At 49.1% G+C, this 18,301-nt stretch overlaps 1 protein-coding gene across 2 annotated transcripts in view, besides 2 other annotated features; it reads right to left on the reverse strand.

Annotated features, from left to right (window-relative positions):
• Positions 1,555-2,090: an enhancer, noted in NCBI's record as "NANOG hESC enhancer chr17:31329363-31329898 (GRCh37/hg19 assembly coordinates)". NCBI's record gives its function as "activates a minimal SCP1, AML or CMV promoter by ChIP-STARR-seq in primed H9 embryonic stem cells {active_cell/tissue: H9 hESC(primed)}" and the evidence as "EXISTENCE:reporter gene assay evidence [ECO:0000049][PMID:30033119]".
• Positions 12,297-18,301, reverse strand: part of ASIC2 (acid sensing ion channel subunit 2) — a 1,143,682-nt gene continuing 1,137,677 nt past the window's right edge. For both annotated transcript variants that reach the window (NM_001094.5, NM_183377.2), the window contains exons 8-10: positions 16,815-16,894; positions 15,181-15,249; positions 12,297-13,276 (exon numbers count right to left, since the gene is read on the reverse strand). In NM_001094.5, the coding sequence (NP_001085.2) occupies positions 13,175-13,276; positions 15,181-15,249; positions 16,815-16,894 (251 nt within the window). In that variant the 3' untranslated portion in view covers positions 12,297-13,174. The remainder of the gene's footprint in view (positions 13,277-15,180; positions 15,250-16,814; positions 16,895-18,301) is intronic.
• Positions 13,487-13,988: an enhancer, noted in NCBI's record as "H3K4me1 hESC enhancer chr17:31341295-31341796 (GRCh37/hg19 assembly coordinates)". NCBI's record gives its function as "activates a minimal SCP1, AML or CMV promoter by ChIP-STARR-seq in naive H9 embryonic stem cells {active_cell/tissue: H9 hESC(naive)}" and the evidence as "EXISTENCE:reporter gene assay evidence [ECO:0000049][PMID:30033119]".

An 18,301-nucleotide genomic window follows, 5' to 3' on the forward strand; every position in this document is an offset into this window, starting at 1 on the left:
TCTCGAACCCTGGAACTTAAGCAATCCTCCTGCCTTGACCTCTCAAAGTGCTGGGATTTTAGGCATGAGCCACCATGCCTGGCTTGCCCACTTTTTAATGGGATTGTTTCTGTCGTTGAGTTGTTTGAGTTCTTTGTATATGCTACATATGAGTCCCCTGTTGAATGAATAGTTTGCAAATATTTTCTCCCATTCTACAAGTTGTTTATTCTGTTGATTATTTCTTTTCCCGTGCAGGATCTTTTTAGTTTAAGTCCCATTTGTCTATTTTTCATTTTGTTGCCTGTGTTTTTGAGGTCTTAGTCATAAATTATTTACCTAGACTAATGTTCAGGAGAGTTTTCTCTAGGTTTCCTTCTAGTATTTTTATAGTTGTGAGTCTTACATTTAAGTCTTTAATCCATCTTGAATTGATTTTTGTATATGATGAGAGACAGGGGTCGTTTCATTCTTCTGCACATGGCAGAAGTTTTCCCAGCACCATTTGTTGAAAAAAGCGTCTTTTCCCCAACGTATGTTCTTGTCAGTTTTGTCAAAAATCGGTTGGCTGTAAATATGTGGCCTTATTTCTGAGTTCTCCACCCTGTTCCACTGATCTGTGAGTCTGTTTTTTATACCAGTACCATGTTGTTTCGGCTACTATAGCCTTGTAATATAATTTGAAATCAGATAATGTGATGCCTCTGGCTTTGTTCTTTTTGCTTAGGATTGCTTTGGCTATTTGGGCCCTTTTTTAGTTTCATATAAATTTTAGGATTTTTTTTCTAATTCTCTGGAAAATGATGTTGGTATTTTGATAGGGATTGCATTGAATCTGTAGATTGCTTTGGGAAGTATGGTCGTTTTAATGATATTAATTCTTCCAGTCCATGGTCCAACCATCCATCTTTGAAGGATTCGTGCCTTCTACTTCAACTTCAGACTTCTGTTGCCTGCCTGGCCTGGTTGCTTCACTGGGTCCCATTCAGCTTGTCTGGGAGAGGAGCCCAGGAATAGGTGTAGTGAAGCTCTTGGAACCAAAGAGAACATTGTTAAAGGATTTGGGGGCTGTGAGCAGTGATGATGGCCACAGTCTCTTCAAGATGGGGCTGGACTGGGATCAGGCCTGGACAAGGGACCCTGAAGGCCTGGGCTGGGTGGTTGACCAGGAGCAGGTGAAGACGGAGCTGGAGAAGGAGTATTTAGGGAAGAGGGCCCTGATCAAAGCCAGGGAGGCCTCCCTTGTTATGAGGGCTACAGAGTGTGCAGGCCCATCTGAATGTAGAGGCCAGGGGAGCCTCTATGTTCAGAGCTCAGCTCCTGAAGGACATGCTCAGGTTGGTGAGAGTAACCAGGCCATGTCCTGGTATCTCTCTCCTTCCACGTCGCTCACCCCACTTACCATGGGCCATTAAGTCTTACCTCTTTTACTTTCTTTATATCTCTAGAAACTCTCCCTCCTTTCTATCCACATGCAGCTGCTTTAAATCAAGTCCTCATCACCTCTTCCCAAGGACGATTGCAATGGCTTCCTAAGAGTGTTCGTGTCTCTAACCTTGGTCCTTGCAACTCCACCTCCTCCCTCAGAGTGAGCTTTCTATCTTGTTTCTGCCTTGCATCCTAGGCCCAATAGCTTTTCTTATCTTATAGGGTTAAAGTTCAAGTTCCTTGGGTTGGTATACAAGGTCTTTCATGACCAAGACTCAGCTGACTGCTACAGATTCAACTCTCACCTGTTCGGAAACTTTTGCTCTAGCTAGTTTGTGTCCTTGGCGGTTAGTTTCCTGAGGGTAGCATGCTGCTTCACGCCTTTCATTATCACCGATCATTCTTCTCCCATTCATTACACTCTGTCCCTTGAATGCAACAAGCTGTTTGCACCACAGGGTCTCTGTACCTCTCTCTTGTCTTCCTGGAATTTTATTTCTTCAGATCTTTGTTTTGTTTTGTTTTTTTGAATTTCAAGCTGTAAGTTTTTTTATTACAGAAAAAATTTTGGTGCCATGTGTTTGTGGTATCGAGTGAGTAGAATACAAAGATAACCAAAGGTAACCAGTGTTAACCCAGGGCTCACTTGTTCACACTTTAAATTTCCAGTTTCTTAAATAGATTTAATTTTTGGCGTTAGACTCCTATCCTAGCTGTTTGATTGCTTGATACATAATTAAAACCAAACATGTCTAAAGCCACACTCCATCCTCCTGAAACAATATCCTTACCTTACTTATGTTAATTTTAGTATTCTTCTTCCAGTCACTCAAATTTGAAAATACTGTCATCTTTGACTTTTTCCTCTCCATTTGCCACAGCCATCCTATAAGGTCTCTGTAATATCTTCAACTTCCACCGCCCTTTCAGATCTTGTTGCTTCCAGTCAAGTTTGAACTGTGCCTCTCACATAGTATTCTTTTTTTTTTAATTATACTTTAAGTTCTAGGGTACATGTGCACAACGTGCAGGTTTCTTACATATGTATGCATGTATACATGTGTTTTGGTTTTTTGAGATAGGGTCTCACTCTGTTGCCCAGGCTGGAGTACAGTGGTGCGATCATAGCTCACTGCAGCCTCCTGAGTAGCTGGGACTACAGGTGGACGCCACCACACCCAACTAATACTTTGATATTTTTGTGGAAATGCATTTCCTCAGACCTTTGGGTGACGCTCCCTTTTTCTTCAGTCAGGTCTTGTCTCAGTTTCACCTCCTCAAAGTGACTTCTCTGATTGCTGTAGCTGAAGGAGTCTTTCCCCTCTTTGTCACTATCTTGGCACTACAGCATGCTCCATTATCTGAAATTATTCCATGCACCTCTGAATTTATGTATATCCCCTTTTCACTTGCCTATGCTAGATTGTAAGCACCATGGGGGCAGAAAATTTGTTCGTTCCTTATATGTCTACCACCTAGAATAGTACCTGGCACATTATACTCAATAAAAAAAAAAGAACCTGTTGAATGCATGATTGATGCATGAATGAATGAATGGTAGGCACTCAGCTAATGTTTGCAGAATCAGTGAGTGAATGGGGCTTGATACCATCTAATATGCAACAATTGATTCAATGATATTACTTAATCACTACCTATGTGCCAGACCCTAGGCATCTCTCCAGATGGACCCACTGCCACCCCCTGCCCCATGCCCCCGGGGATCCCTCTCTTGGGGAGACTCTCTATCCCTCAGCCAGGTAACCACCCTGGCTGCTTTTCATACAAGTCCTGCCTGCCTCCTTCTTGCCCATATGTGGTGTAGAGGGAGCTCAGCATGGTTTGGGCAGTTTGGCAGAGGTGGAGCAATGGGGTTTTCTCCTTTTTCCTAGCCACCTGACCTTGGGAAAGTCACTCCACCTCTCAGAGCTCAGTGTTCCTCATGGGCAAGAGGAGCAAATGAAGGCCACCTTGGAATATTGTATCAATTGCACCTGTAATCTATCATCGTAATCCATAATATAGAGCAGCGACGCGCCCAGCATAGTGCCTGGCACAGAGTGGGGCTTCAGAAATGCTGGCTCATCTGGTTTTCCTGAGCTCTGGGGGTAGCAAGTTCCAACCTACCTGGGGAGGAATGGGTGGGAACAGGACATGCCTGCCCCAGTGACCAGGGCTTCCTTAGGAGACCTGTACTGTGTCCTTCTCATTGTTTGCTAAGAAGAGAAAGAGAAAGGGGAAGGTGTGAGGAGGAGAAGGAGGAGAAGGGGAATGGTTTGGGAAAAGTAGTAGACAGTCCTATGGAAAGTAGGGGAGAATTCAATGAATTTTTGTTACTTTTCGTAAGTCTCCCCCTTCTTGGATTAGTTTGGCTGCAGGAGACAGATTTAAAATGGGCTTTTCTATATCTTTTGTGCTAAGGGTGGATTGAATGTTCCTGGGGATGATTGGCTTGCTAAGGTGCTGTCCCTTCTCTACCTGTAGGTACAGGTGAGGGTGGCAGAGGCCCCTGGCAGCTGAAGGAGGCTTTGCGGGGTGCTCTTTCTGTGTGGTCCATGCCCTCAGCTGGGTATGGTGGTTTTTCTCCACTCTGAGCACTGGCCTGAAGCTTCTAGGGTAGGGAAACTGTGGGAGGTGGGCCAGTCAGAGGGCACCCAGAATTTCCTGGACCCCATCACCTCTGTGCCTATGGCAGACATTGCAAACTGAGTACAAGCCTTTGTCTTTACTGAGCTGGCATGTGTCCAGGAATCTTTCTTTTTTTTTTTTTGAGACAGAGTCTCCCTCTGTCGACCAGGCTGTAGTGCAGTGGTGTGATCTTGGCTCACTGCAACCTCTGCCTCCCGGGTTCAAGTGATTCTCCCACATCAGCCTCCCAAGTAGCTGGGACTACAGGTGCGCACCACCATGCCTGGCTAATTTTTGTATCCTTAGTAGAGACGGTTTCATCATGTTGGCCAGGTTGGTCTTGAACTCAAGTGATCTGTCTACCTTACCCTCCCAAAGTGCTGGAATTACAGGTGTGAGCCACCACGCCCAGCCAAGGAATCTTTCTTGACAGTTCAATGGTAGTCACTCTCGATGGAGTTGGCATGTAGAATGGGACCTCTTTATCATCTCTGACCTACCCTATGTTGGCCATCACAGCAGCACAGCATCCGGAGGAGATTGAGATGGTCATCCCCATTTTTAGGAGGAAACTGAACCTCAGAGAAGTTCTAGAGCTTGCCCAAGGAAGCACAGTTGGCCGGAGCTGGGACTTGGATGGGGCTGCCAGGTTGCCAAGGCCATGCTTCATCCTCAGCTGTCCCAGCTGCCATAGCTGCACTAGCACTTGGACTCTCAGCAGGCTGCCCCCTGGAGTGGGAAGGCACAGTTGAGGGGTGGGGGGCAGTGGAGAGATAGCCCACCTATCCACAGGGGATCCATCATTCTCCAAGCCCTCCAGCTTCTCTTCTGCCTCCAAGTCTCTGCCCAGGTATCTGTTCTGCAAACTTGCTTGCCTGGCAACTTCTACCCATCTCTCAAGGCTTCAGTCAAAACCTGCTCCGACTCAGCCAACCAGACCCAGGTGTTTCTGCCGCAATGAGCACACTGTGCCCTGGGTACCTTTGTAGCTCTTGCTGCTCAAGTCTTTCTTTCTTTCTCTCTCTCTTATTTCTTTCTTTCTTTCTTTCTTTCTTTCTTTCTTTCTTTCTTTCTTTCTTTCTTTCTTTCTTTCTTCTTTCTTTCTTTCTTTCTTTCCTTCTTTCTTTCTTTTCTTCTTTCTTTCCTTCTTTCTTTTTCTTTTTCTTTCTTTCTTTCTTTCCTTCCTTACTTCTTTCTTTCTTTCTTTCCTTCCTTCTTTCTTTCTTTTCTTTCTTCCCTCCCTCCCTCCCTCCCTCTCTCTTTCTCTCTCTCTTTCTTTCTTTCCTTCTTTCTTTCTTTCTTTTCTTCTTTCCTTCTTTTTCTTTTTCTTTCTTTCTTTCTTTTCTTTCTTTCTTCCCTCCCTCCCTCCCTCCCTCTCTCTCTCTCTTTCTTTCTTTCTTTCTCTTTCTTTCTTTTCTTTCTTTCTTCCCTCCCTCCCTCCCTCCCTCTCTCTCTCTCTCTCTTTCTTTCTTTCTCTTTCTTTCTTTTCTTTCTTTTTCTTTTCTTTCTTTCGACGGAGTCTCTCTCTGTCTCCAGGCTGGAGTGCAGTGGCGCAATCTTGGCTCACTGCAACCTCCGCCTCCCAGGTTCAAGCGATTCTCCTACCTCAGCCTCCTGAGTACCTGGGACTACAGGCGTGTGCCACCACGCCCAGCTAACTTTTGTATCTTTAGTAGAGACGGGGTTTCACCATATTGGCCAGGATGGTCTTGCTCTCTTGACCTCGTGATCTGCCCACCTCAGCCTCCCAAAGTGCTGGGATTACAGGCGTGAGCCACCATACCGTTCAGGTGTTTCTGTACATGCCTGTTGCCCACCTCTGCCCACCTAGACTGTGTCTTCTTGATATATGAATTCCCAGTACCTAACTCAGTGCCTGGCACATAGTGAGCACACAGAAAATGCTTGTGGAGTGATGGGGTCAGGGCAGAGACTCCAGCATGGTACTGGGAAGTTTCCCTCCGGGAGGCTGGTTGAGCTGGGTGTGCTTTGGTGCCCACCAATCACTTTGTATTGGGCCTATTTTAACTCAGATAGAACTGCTTTTGTAAAGAAGCCACAAAAGGCAGAATTACACTAAAGACAAATGGCCTATAATGGTGATAAGTTTGCCACTTCCTTCAGAGGCATGGGGGAGAGAACAGCTTCAAGGAGGCAAAAAATCCAAATTCTCCAACCCAAAGCATCACTCACAGTCATTATCAGGGGGCGGATTTTCTTTTCAACAAAAAGCAAAACACCATTGTGGCCTTGCTCAGAAACAAATGAGATGTCAGCAGTGGGGCATGTTTGGAGGCTCAGTGGCAGCCAGCGAACATTATGCATGCATTCCCGGGTGCAGGGCATGCAGGGGGCATGTTCTTGAAGAACCAGGCCATGGGGGTGTCTGCAAAGTGGACGTTATGGTTGCTTCTTATGTACACAGGTCTTTTCCTTCAGCCCTCGAAATCTCCACATGCATAAAATAATTTTATGAAATCACGTTTCCAAGTTTTTCTGTTCATATTCATTTTCTGCTCGTTCATTCATTTTGCCATCTGTGAGAACGCACAAGCTGCAGCAGGTGCCAAAGGTTTAAAAAAATTATGGGAGAAAACAACACTGATCAAATGCTATCTATCCTTTTATTTTTTCTTCTTTCTGTAAATTGAAAAATGACAGTCATTATGTGATTTTAGGAGAAGAAATGTTGGTTGCATTTTGTGGTACTGTGGCGTTCTTTTGGAGGATTGTTTAGCACTTTCTCGATCAGGGTGACTTTGCCTAGCATGGGTGGACCCCTAGAGGATCACAGATGGGCTCTGGGGATCCATAACCCTCCTGAAATTATATGCAAAAATTTTGTTTTGTTTTGTCAAGTAGCTGGCACTACAGGCATGCACTGCCACGCCTGGCTAATTTTTTGTATTTTTCAGAGATGGGGTTTTGCCGTGTTGCTCAGGCTGGTCTCGAACTCCTGAAGTCAAGTGATCCTCCCACCTCAGCCTCCCAAAGTGCTGGGATTATAGGTGTGAGCCACTGCACCCAGCTTGTAGGCAAAATTTTACGTATATCTATGTGACCATGTGCAATTTTGGGGGGAGAGAATTTACAGCTTCATCTTATTTTTAAGAGTCAGTGATCCAAACAAGATTAAACATCAATGTTCTACGGGAAGAAAAGAGAAAAGAAGAAAAGATAGAAAGTGTTTTATACACTTAAACTTATTTAATCCTCATAATAAGCCTGAAAACTAAGCATCAGCATTTCTGTTTTATAGATGGAGAAATGGGGGCTCTGAGCAGTCAATTAAATATTTGCTTAGATGCCTGACATTCACTTACAACTTCAACTCATAGACTGTTAGAGTCGGGAGGCACCAAAGGGATTATCTGTCCATTTTCATCTCCTTCCCTTTTGTAGAGGAGGAAACTGAGACCCATAGAAGTGAAGTGAACTGGGCCTAAAGTCATGTGGTCAGTTTGCAGCAGAAACAGATTAGAAACTCAGTCTTCTGGCTGGGCGTGGTGGCTCACGCCTGTAATCCCAGCACTTTGGGAGGCCGAGGTATGCGGATCACCTGAGGTCAGGAGTTTGAGACCACCCTGACCAACATGGTGAAACCCGTCTCTACTGAAAATACAAAAAATTAGCCAGGTGTGGTGGCTGGCACCTGTAATCCCAGCTACTCGGGTGGCTGAGGTAGGAGAATCGCTTGAACCCAGGAGGCAGAGGTTGCAGTGAGCCGAGATCACGCCACTGCACTCCAGCCTAGGTGCGACAGAGCCAGACTCCATCTCAATAAAAACAAAAACAAAAACAAAAACAAAACTCAGTCTTCTGACTTTGACCAAAGCCTTTTCCAACCCACTGCTTTATTCTTGAAAAACAAGTGAGTACTGGTTTCATCAAATGTTAAATTGAATTAGTAAGAGATTCTCCTCCTTCCACCTGTCCTCAAGCAGGGTTGGGTCCTATAGTCCTGTTTCATGTCCCCATGAACCTCATGCCCCCTAGAATAACCTGTTAGCCTTAGGAATACATAAATGCTGCACAAAAAGATCCCATGTGCTAAGAGGCTAAGAATCTCCAATGAGTGGGGAGAAAGGCATTAGCTCAAGAAATCAACCCTTGGTTTGGGAAATGTCTTCATAGCCTCTTGGGGAGCAAAGGAAAGAGCTTGAAGGACTTTAGCCGTGACACTCCTCTCAGCATGGTGGCCAGGCCCTTCATCCTTCAGCACCTGCCTACCTCTCATGCCCCTTCATGTCTTTGCTTGGGTTCTCCCGGACCTGTGTGCAATCCCCTGGGCTGTGCCTCCTCCAGCCTCCTGGGCTTCCCATACGCTGCTCTCTCACTTCCCTTCAACTGGAAAACCCAGATTCATCTTTTGCAGTCTTCTGTTTACTTGTCAGTATTCCTTGCTCAGATTAGAAATTCCTTGCCTCACTGCAAGTGCCCAGCAAGGTAGCAGTCAATCATACAAGGGCATGGCAGATGCACCTGGGCCCTTCCTGCATTTGCCCCTTCTTTCTTCCCCTGCTGCCTTCCCTATTATGCCAGAGAGCTTGTTCTGTGCAGCGGAGGGTCTGCCCTGGCTGTGTGCGGGTCAGGGTTGGCTGCATTCTCTCCCGCTGCTTTAGCAGTTCCTTGCCCTCTCTGAGCCCGCTTTTCTTTGTCACATGGGAGTTGATTCATTGGGATCTTATGGAGGCCTTCAGCCCCGTTCAGGGTTTGGTTCTCAAAATTGAATAAAAATCTCTGAGCTTGTGGAGGAAGAGGTTTCCTTTGGGCCTGTGGGCTCAGGTGGGCTGTGCTGAGCTTTACCTGAGGGAACACATTACCCACCAGGATCACACCTGTGGGCAGGGCCTGCCTGCGACGTCCTCCTTCCCAGCTCACCAAGAGCCATTCTCCAGAGACCCTCTGTCTCCCCCTCATCAGTGCTTGTGGCTCCGCAAGCTTCTCACTAGCAGCGTTCATGGTGAAAACTCTCACAAAAATAGCTTCAAGCTGGAACGAGGAAAATAAAATAACTCCGGCCTGTCCCTGCCAAAAACAAGAAAACAGTGTGCGAGCAACTAGCCCAGTCCTCTGGCAATGGATGCTCACAGCGAGGCTCAATCATTTCACTCTCTTCAGCTGCTGTACATCCCCAAGATCCCGTGTCTGGGGTCATGTGCCATTAATTAATTAACTAATTAATTGATTGATCCAATCCTCTGAAGTCACTGAGAATTCAACCTTGTGGTTTGGACTTGTGATTGCTCCAAACTCCTAGCCTTGGTGTCATCTTTTGGGTCACTCCTGAAAATGGGACAACTCCCTGAGTCTCCCTTCTCCACCAGACTTCCCCAGGTCCACACTAAGGAAATGATTGCACAAATAGCTACTTGTTTGATGGGAGGATCATAAAAACACTCCCCTACCCACTGGAATTTAGACTGTGTCTTTTGTTAACAGCCAATTAATAATAATCAGTAGCTGCCTATTGATTTGCTCTCTTGAATTTCCTTTTTTTTTTCTTTAAACAGGTAAAGAATGTAGACCTGGTTTAAGCCGGACAAAGCCAGAATCCTCAAATCCATATGGGTGCAGACATCTGTGAGCCCTGAAGCAATCCAAATGCATCTAAATATTCTTTGCTCTATCACAAATGGATCTAATTTTTTTTTCTGAAAAGGAAGCCAGAAATCCAACGAAGCAGTTCAAATTGTAATTTAAGCTATAGATTTTTAAAAAATTTAAGAAGCTGCTAAACTGGAACGAGGCAGAAGCATCAGAGAGACTCCCGACTAATTGAACAGTCATTTCATTTGGTTCCTGTCCCTGGTAGGAGCGGTCCAAGGCTAACCTCTGGATCCCTGTTCTTCTGTATCTGACAGTGTAGATACCAGCAGGGCATTTTCCAGCCTGATGTAGTCGTGGGTGAGTTTGTCTCAGTGGAGGGACTTTCACACTCTGGCCAAGTCTGGAAAACTGATCACTGTCAGTCCTTCTTGTTTAAAGTGAGTCACCTTGGTGGGTCTACAAATGGAATTGTGAACCTGGGAGTTTAGGGGTATAGCTTCGGCACTGCCATTAACTCACTGTGTGACCCTAGGCCAGGCCCTCCTCTCCTCTTGAGAGTCTGCTCAATTGGAAAATGAGGACATTAAGCTACCTGATCCAGCAGGCCTGTGGGCCTGTGGTAATGGCCTCCAAAGATGTCCCCATTCTAATCCCTGGAACCAGTGAATATGTGACCTTACATCGTAAAAGAGGCTTTGAATAGGTGATTAATTTAGTAATCCTGAGATGGGAAGGTTATTCTGGATTATGCAGTAGGCCCAGTGTCATCAAAAGGGTTCTTTAAAGGCTGGGCATGGGGGCTCACACCTGTAATCCCAGCACTTTGGGAGGCTGAAGTGGGCAGGTCACTTGAAGTCAGGAGTTTGAGACCAGCCTGGCCAACATGGTGAAATCCCAAGTCTGCTAAAAATACAAAAGCTAGCCGGGCATGGTGGTGGATGACTGTAATCCCAGCTACTCGGGAGGCTGAGGCAGGAGAATCGCTTGAACATGGGAGGTAGAGGTTGCAGTGAGCCGAGATCATGCCACTGCACCCCAGCCTGGGTGACAGAGCAAAACTCTGTCTAAAAAAAAAAATTCTTCAAAAATGGAAGAGGGAAGCATGAGAGAAGTCACAGTTAGAGGGAGATGTGCCTGTGTGGATTTGTGACAGGAGAAGGACTTAACCCGTTATGGCTGGCTTTGAAGACTGAGGAAGTGGTTGCAAGCCAAGGAACGTGGGCAGCCTCTAGAAGCTGGAAAAAGCAAGGAAACACAGCCTCCTGTAGAGCTTCCAGAAAGAAATGCAGCCCTGCTGACACTGGGTTTTAGCCCAGCGAGACCTGTGTCAGACTTTTGACCTATAGAACTGTAAGATAATACATTTGTGCTGTTTTAAGCCACGAGGGTAGTAGTTATTTGCAGTGGCAGTGATAGAAAACCATACAAGACCCTTTCTGGCAACTTTACACTCTCTAAGAATAAAAGCTAGCTTAGCTAACAGCTGGCAGCCCCATCTGGGAGAATGCTTGGGAGGAGGCATCACAGGGGTGCTCTGTCCCAGCTGCCTTCTACAGTCCCCAGGACTGCCAGCTCCTGGCCATGCTTGGGCGTGAGCATCCCACTGGGCAGGGGAGGCAGTGCTGTTATGGCACTTTGAGTCTCAGGAGATCATCTGGTCCTGCATCTTCCCTTCACACAGGTAAGGTATTATCTTCATCCAAAAATTGAGGGAGCTGTGCCCAGAGATGTGCATGGTCTCACCCACTGTCACACAGCTACTGAGAGAAGAACGCTGTGGGGCCAGGGCTCATAACTCCTGGTGGGAGACTCTTCCATTTGTCACACTGGGCAAGTAACTTTTCCTTGTGTTAGCGGGTCATGAAGGAGAGACAGACAGATAGGGAGGTTGGATGGCAGAACAGGACTGGAACCCTGAACCCCTGGTCTAGCCAGTGCTTTCTGAGCACCTGTGCTTGAGGGGAAAGGTACAGCCACATTAGGCCTTTCTTCACTGCTTGAGGAGAGACTTTGAGGGGGGAGTGGTGGGGGCCGGGAGGGAAAGTGAAAGATTAGGCTAAAGGAACTGCTGCTATGGAACCAGCATGGTGCTAAGGATGAGGATTCTGCCTGATCAGGAAGTTCTCTCTCACACCTGGAGGCTGAAAAGGGCATGCCCTGTGTCCGTAACACCAAAAGGCACCTCCCAACCTCTCATTCCACCTCTAAGAACTCATGGGGAGCAAGGCAGAGTGCCAGTGTGGCTTCTGGGGGGACAAGGCAGGTCAGTTTGCTGGGGGTGGGGAGGCCAGGAAGGCTCGTGTGTGGGAGGGAGGCCATGCTGGGGCCTGTGTCCAGCCCAAATTCACCGATGGGGTCAGGAGGGGTCAGGGTAGCAGACAGATCACAGGGGGACACAAAGGCCTTCTTGATAGTTTCCATGTCTGAGCAGCATTCTCCAGGCCACGTGCCTGTGGGTCCAGGGCAGCCTCCTTCAGAACGCGGGCTGTGACTCATCAGTGGGACTTGAAGACATTTACAAAGTTGTGAGCAATCTTTAAAAAATTTTAGAATAAACATATAGAGTATGCACATTTTGTAAAAGTAAGTGTTGTTGCGTAAAACTTTACATATACACAGTCTGCAGTTTTGACCTGGCAGGTCCGACCCTTTCCTAGGCCCCGGAGGGAGAGAGACTCGGATGTGGAGAAAAGGCAGAAATAACTCAGCCATTTCCACAAGACCAGCTTTTAATATGACTGTGATTTGAAGCACGAATAAATAAATGCCAAAGAAAATGGAAAAACCAAAGCAAACCTCAGAACATCAAAACTAAAATAAAAAAGCATAAAATGAAGCAAAACAAAACAAATCTCCATCGGACAAACATAAAAGCCCCCCTACCCCAGATAAAAAGAATCAGACTGTACAAGCTGTGTCACAGGGAGAGAAGAACGACATGGGCACCATGGGTGAACACAGGCGTCCCCCACCCGCTGGCTGCTGTGCCGCCGTCATAGGCACTGGGGGGGAGGGAGGTTGGCGCGGGTCACCTTTGGCGCCGAAGCCCCATGGGCAGCTTGGGGAAAAGGGGGTTTTTGGGCAGGTTAAGAACTTTCACAAACGACACAAGAACTGAATGTAGCAGAGAGTCCCATGGGTTCCCTCTTGATTGTGCAGTTCTGATTCCAGGGTGGCCTCATGGTGACTTTGGACCTGGAATCTGGTCCCACTGCACGGGCAGCAGTGTGGACACTGGAAACCGCGTGGAGGAGTGTCATGTACAAGACAGACGTGGAGGTGGCGCCACAAGAAGTCTGAGCATGCAGGTGCTTTATACATCTGGCAGTGAGATGTGATGGCAGGTTCGTTCTTGGACAGTTCCAGAGTGTGACTCATCTCTCCTAAGAGGGACGCACGGCGGGGCCCAAGGATGCGTCGTGTTGGACGTGGCCGGAGCGAGGTCTAGGCAGCTAGTCTGCAATGTGTGCATAGGGGGCTCTTGCTTCTTTCCAGCACTGGGGCCATCCCACCTGAGCTTGCTGTTCCTTGTCCTGGGTCTTGGGCCTCAAGGTCTGTTTGGAGGGAGTGCTGGGTGACTCGAGGGGTGTCAGCAGGCAATCTCCTCCAAGGTCCCCAGGGTCGTCTGCAGGGGCACGTTCACAGTGTGACTGATGGTTTCAGAGTGGTTTGGCATTGTGTCACAAGTACTCTGGAAGGGAAGGGTTGGTGGGAGTTTATTATTCGCTCAGCAAAAATTCTTCATGATGCCACCAGCGGCCCAGCCTAGGCCCTGGGGAAGGTGCTCCCCACTTGTGGGCTGCTTCTGCTCCAGACATCTGATAGGCTAGTTTACCATCTTGGGGGCATGAGGCTGAATGGAATCCTTACCATTGCACACCTGGGTGCCCCCTATGGCAGTGAGAAGGCTCCCTGGTTTGATTGGCTGCTGGTTTGATCCCTCTTAGAGGTGCCCCTCATGTAACTGGACCTATATCTGAGTGGTCTGTAGCTTTGGGGCTGGATGGTCTGAGTCCTGACCTCTCTCTTGGGGGCCTCCCTCGGGGCTATGGTGCAGGAAGTGCAGCCCATGGCTAAGCCTGGGGCAGGGAGGACCCATGGCTGAGGCCAAGCAGAAACGGTAGAAGGCCTTAGAGCTCAGAGCCAGAGCTGGTCAGAGCTGCCCCAAGGACTTTTAGGGTTAAGCTGGACCCAGGGCAATGTAGTTGTGGGTCCCTAAGCGGGGAGGGGCTGAGCTGGCCGCACATGAATCTTCAGGGTGGTTCCCAGGCTGTGGTGGGTGGGAGGCTGGGAGGGATGGGAGCAGGGCACCGCTAGCCAGGAGGCTGTGCCAGGAATTTGGGGAAGATTTGATAGGGCCACAACTAGGGGAGGAGAAACAGGGTGGAGAAGAGGCTGTGACGCTGAGACCTTCTGAAGCAAGGAGGGCTCTGGGGGTGCAAAGGGAACCACTTGCTGAGCACTTACTATAAACTAGGTGCTGTGCTGACTGCTTTGCCGGCAGGATCTCACTGAACTCGGATGACAGCCCCCTGCAGTCTGATCTGATGCAGATGCTTAGACAGGTTTAATATGTAACTTGCCCCCAGGCACACAGCCAGGAAGCCGGAGCCTTAGGATCCAGCCAGGCCAGCTGATGCCAGACCGTGGGCCCCTTCCACACTGCCCTCCCCTTCCCCACTTCCGTTCCACAGAGGCTGCAGGGGACCGGAGAATCAAAGCAAGATTTGTAGACAGTGTGTGGAACAGAAATGGAATCCATATAGGGAGAAGGGGCTGGGATCCATTTTGGATTTGTTGATATTAAGTGGGTGGTGGTCACTCAATGGGCACCGTTTTCCAGGGCTGGAGGTGCTGATTTGGGGCCCAAGGCTGGATGGGGAAAGCTGGCGACACCTGCACCCATCAGCGAAGGCCTGAGCCCAGGAGTAGACTGAGTTTTGGAAGCAGAATGACCAACAGCCACAGAGGGGCTGCCCTCGGGCTATAGGAAAGAGAGGCAGAGTAGGGCAGTGGTTAGAAGTGCTTGGAGGGCAGCTCTGACACTCAGCAGCTGTGGGACTTTGGTCTCTGGGCCTCAACTGCCTCAAATACAAAGTGCCTGACAGTGCCTGACACGTACCAGGCATACAATAGTCAGTAGCTATAATGGGCACTATTGCTACTACCAACTTCATGGGGCTCCATACTCTATCCCTTTCGAATGGGATGGAGGGCCAATGATGCTTTGCTTGTACTTTGCCACCACTGGGGAATAAGGGAGTAGATGTACAGAGCCTGTCCAGTTCTCCCCCTGCTGTGAGATGGGGGAAGCAGCTGTCTGCCTGGGAGAAGCTGGATTGGGCCAGGCAGTTCCTATGTTTGGAAGCACCTCCTGGTGTCTGCTGCATCCGTACTGGCTTCTGGCATGACTCTCAGAGAGAGGCTCGAGGCTCAGCTGGAGTGTCCTTGGATTTGGGAACTGACAGCATGTCCCAAGCCATGGAAAGGTGTGCAGTGAGTCACATCTTTCCTGCCCGGCCCCAGCATCTGGTTTTGTACTGCCGGTACAAGCCAGAGCAGCAGAACAACTTCCAATCAGTGAGCTGCTCTTACCACATTCTCATCGTGGCTCCCTTCGTCCTCCTCTTTGCCAAGCAGGTCTAATAGCTTCTCTTTGATCAGCTGCAAGAAAAGCAGGAAGGGGTTGGTCAGGCCGGGAAGAGGGTGCAGAGGCAGAAGGGACCTCCCTCCATTGGGCCCCACTGGGGTGGCAGCTGCTTGGGCTGTGGCTGAACATACCGTAGCACAAGCCCAGCCTGGCAGCCAGCTCCAGGTGCCTGTCTGTCTCAACCCAGCCTTTTGGCTGAAATGGGATTTTGTTGCAGGAGATGGAGCTAGGAATAGGTAATGGAAGGCCCTGCTTCACAGGGTGAACTGCTGTCTTTGTGGCTGGCGAGTGTTAGTAAGTGGTGTGTGCTGGTATGCTGGCTCCCTGTCTGTCCTCAGGAGCAGCCTTGGGACCCCCTTTCTGTGGCTGGGGCTGGGGGACAAGATTATTATTCACTTGCTAGGCCTGACACTGCACACAATTCAGAAGACCAGGACATGCCTGAGTTCATAACATTTTACTCCTAGCAATAGAGGGTAGTTCTTAAATCTGTTACCTGGTGTGATTCAATTGCCATAACTGTGTACAGTTTTCCACAAAAGTCAATAAACAAAGCAGAATAAAATCTGGCCATGGGAACTGATGTGGTTTTGGGGTCACTGTGCTGAGACGCATGAGATTCTCCAGAGGAGCCTGGTTACTGGGGCACGACAGGTCCCTACTGTGGTTCCGAGCAGCCTTTGGTCATGAACAGCCCCCTCCGAGAGACAGAACATGGTTCTGCAGGCTCCCGTCTACTGCTCCTGTTTGGGGGACTTCATAGGTCCAGGCATTCTTTGGAAGTTCTGGAGCCATTGCCATTTTCAGGGGCACACATTGGAGGTGAAGTGCATTGCCCATCTCACAGCCAGGGGGATGGAGGCCTCCAAGGGAACACCCGTCAAAACAGAGCCTGGGATAGTGGCATCCACAGGCTCGCTGTCAGAGAGAGATGCAGGTGAGAAGGCTGACCCCAGCTCTGGGAACCCTCATTGTCAGAGAAAGCTTTCAGAGGCCTCGTTCCAGCTGCCTCTTGAGGGAGACATTTCCCCAGACTGTCAGCAGCCGGGGCGGCTGGCGTGCCCTGCTGTCTTCTCGCTGAGGATTGGTGAGGACTGCTGGGAAGTGCCCCTTCCCTAAGACTGGCTGGGCCACAGAGGACATGACTCAGGTGATGGGCCACCTAGAGGGCAGGTGTGTGTGGGTGGAGGGAGTGTGTGTGCAGGTGTGGACATGCTCATGGATGAAGCCACCACCTCCAGCCCAGCTGCAGGAGGGGCTTGGAGCTGGCCTCAGCACAGTCTGGCCCCCTTCCCCTCATCCCTCCCCATCCTTCCCTGCCAGTGTAGATGGCCCAGTGCTGTTCCAGCTCCCAGAGGATAGGCCTGTGTTTCTCTTACATCCACCGCCCCCCAAAAACCTCCCATCCCCTTGCCCCACAGAGCCTGGGCTTCAGTGATCGACTCTATTGGTGGACAGGAGGGGAAGCAGGCTCTGCATGGAGAGAGGCACCGCCTTCCCTCTACTATGATTCTGAACCTGGGGCACGATGAGGGCACCAGCATGCGGTCATTTCCCTGTGGGGAATCCCAAATCTTACCTCATAAATATAATCAAAGAGCTCTAGTATTGTAAGGATACTAGCACCAATGAACAATCCCATCTGACCACCAATATCACCTGGAGAGAGAGGGAAAAGACCAAAGCTTTGCTTTTATGCAGCTTCCAGGAAGGGTGAACAGACTGAGATGCAACCCAGACCTTCTGAATGGCGCCCCCTCCATGGGGAGCCTGGGCCTTGTTGTGGGAGGTCCAGGCCTTTGGCAGTTCCTTCCCTCACGGCACAGCTCTGAGAGCTACCATTTTTCAGCATTCAGTGGGGTCGGGGACTAAGCTGATGGCTTATTGGAAGGGCTTAGACTAGATCTCATGACCCACAGGGCTAACGGGGTTGTTTGGTTACACTCAAAACCACACCGATTGGGTCCTGTTTTGACTCTGGGCTGGGAGTAGGGAGAATAGAGAGCTAGGATGTGTGTGGACTGGTGACAGGTGCCCTGGGTGGGAGTCTCGGGAGGAGATGCTCCCCTAACCCAATCACGGCATGGGCTTCAGGGCCACCTTAGGGCACCTCCCACCCTTGGGATAAGGCCATAGGTGTCTCCTCTCTCCCCCATCCAAAAGTTAGTGTGCAATTTTGACTCTTTCTAGAGCTGAGGTTCTTACTCTGGGGTTTATAGGCCCCCATTATTCAAAGTTTTCTGGATTTGTCTTCAGATACCCCTGCATCCAACTCTCCTGGAAGAATTGTAATCAGTGTTGCTGCCTGGATACACCTAGGCCAATAGAATCAGAGCCTCTGCGGTTGGGGTCTGGATGTCGGGATTTTTAAGTTCCCGCTGGGGGTAAGGTGCATTCTCGGGCCCACCAGAGTTTGAGAACCACTCTCCTGGGAGGACTTCAGATGGCTGGAGACTCTCCTGAAATTGAATGCAAAATGTATGTGTGCCTGGGCATTTGTAGCAGGAGAGTCCATAGCTATTATCAGTTTTTAACAGGGGTTCTGAGTCCTCAAAAGCTTAAGATGCTTTGCTGCAGAGGCAGTGTGGCAGAGCCGAGGGCTCTGAGGCTCTGAGTCCAGAGAGTGGCCACCAGCTGGTTGTGTGGCTTTCATAAGCCCTGACCTTCTCAGGAGCTTTGTCTCCAAAGGATATTTGGTGGTGGTGGCAGGATGGAGGGGGTTGGATGAGATGAACTATGAAGTTCTTTCCAGCCCTAATCTCTAAGACTCTCAGTCTCTGGAAAGAGGTTTGGGAATTGGGTTTGGGGGGCACAGTTGGGGGTGGCAGGACAGTTCTCTTGGAGATGCCAGCTTGACCTCTTGGCCTGAGAACTCTCTGGTAGGCAGATCTGCCCCACTCCTTCTCAGCTTATGGCTGGGTGGGGTCCAGCACCCACATGCCCGGGTGAACAACAGAGATGGTGGGGAGAAGGCTCTTCCCAGTGGAACGCGGTGCTGGCCTCAAACTGGCTCTCCCTCATTCCTTTCCCATCACCGCTCCCTCTCATGTCTTTAATGGAGGCTTC

This window comes from Homo sapiens, chromosome 17, assembly GCF_000001405.40.
Source record: "Homo sapiens chromosome 17, GRCh38.p14 Primary Assembly".
NCBI classification, from domain to species: domain Eukaryota; kingdom Metazoa; phylum Chordata; class Mammalia; order Primates; family Hominidae; genus Homo; species Homo sapiens.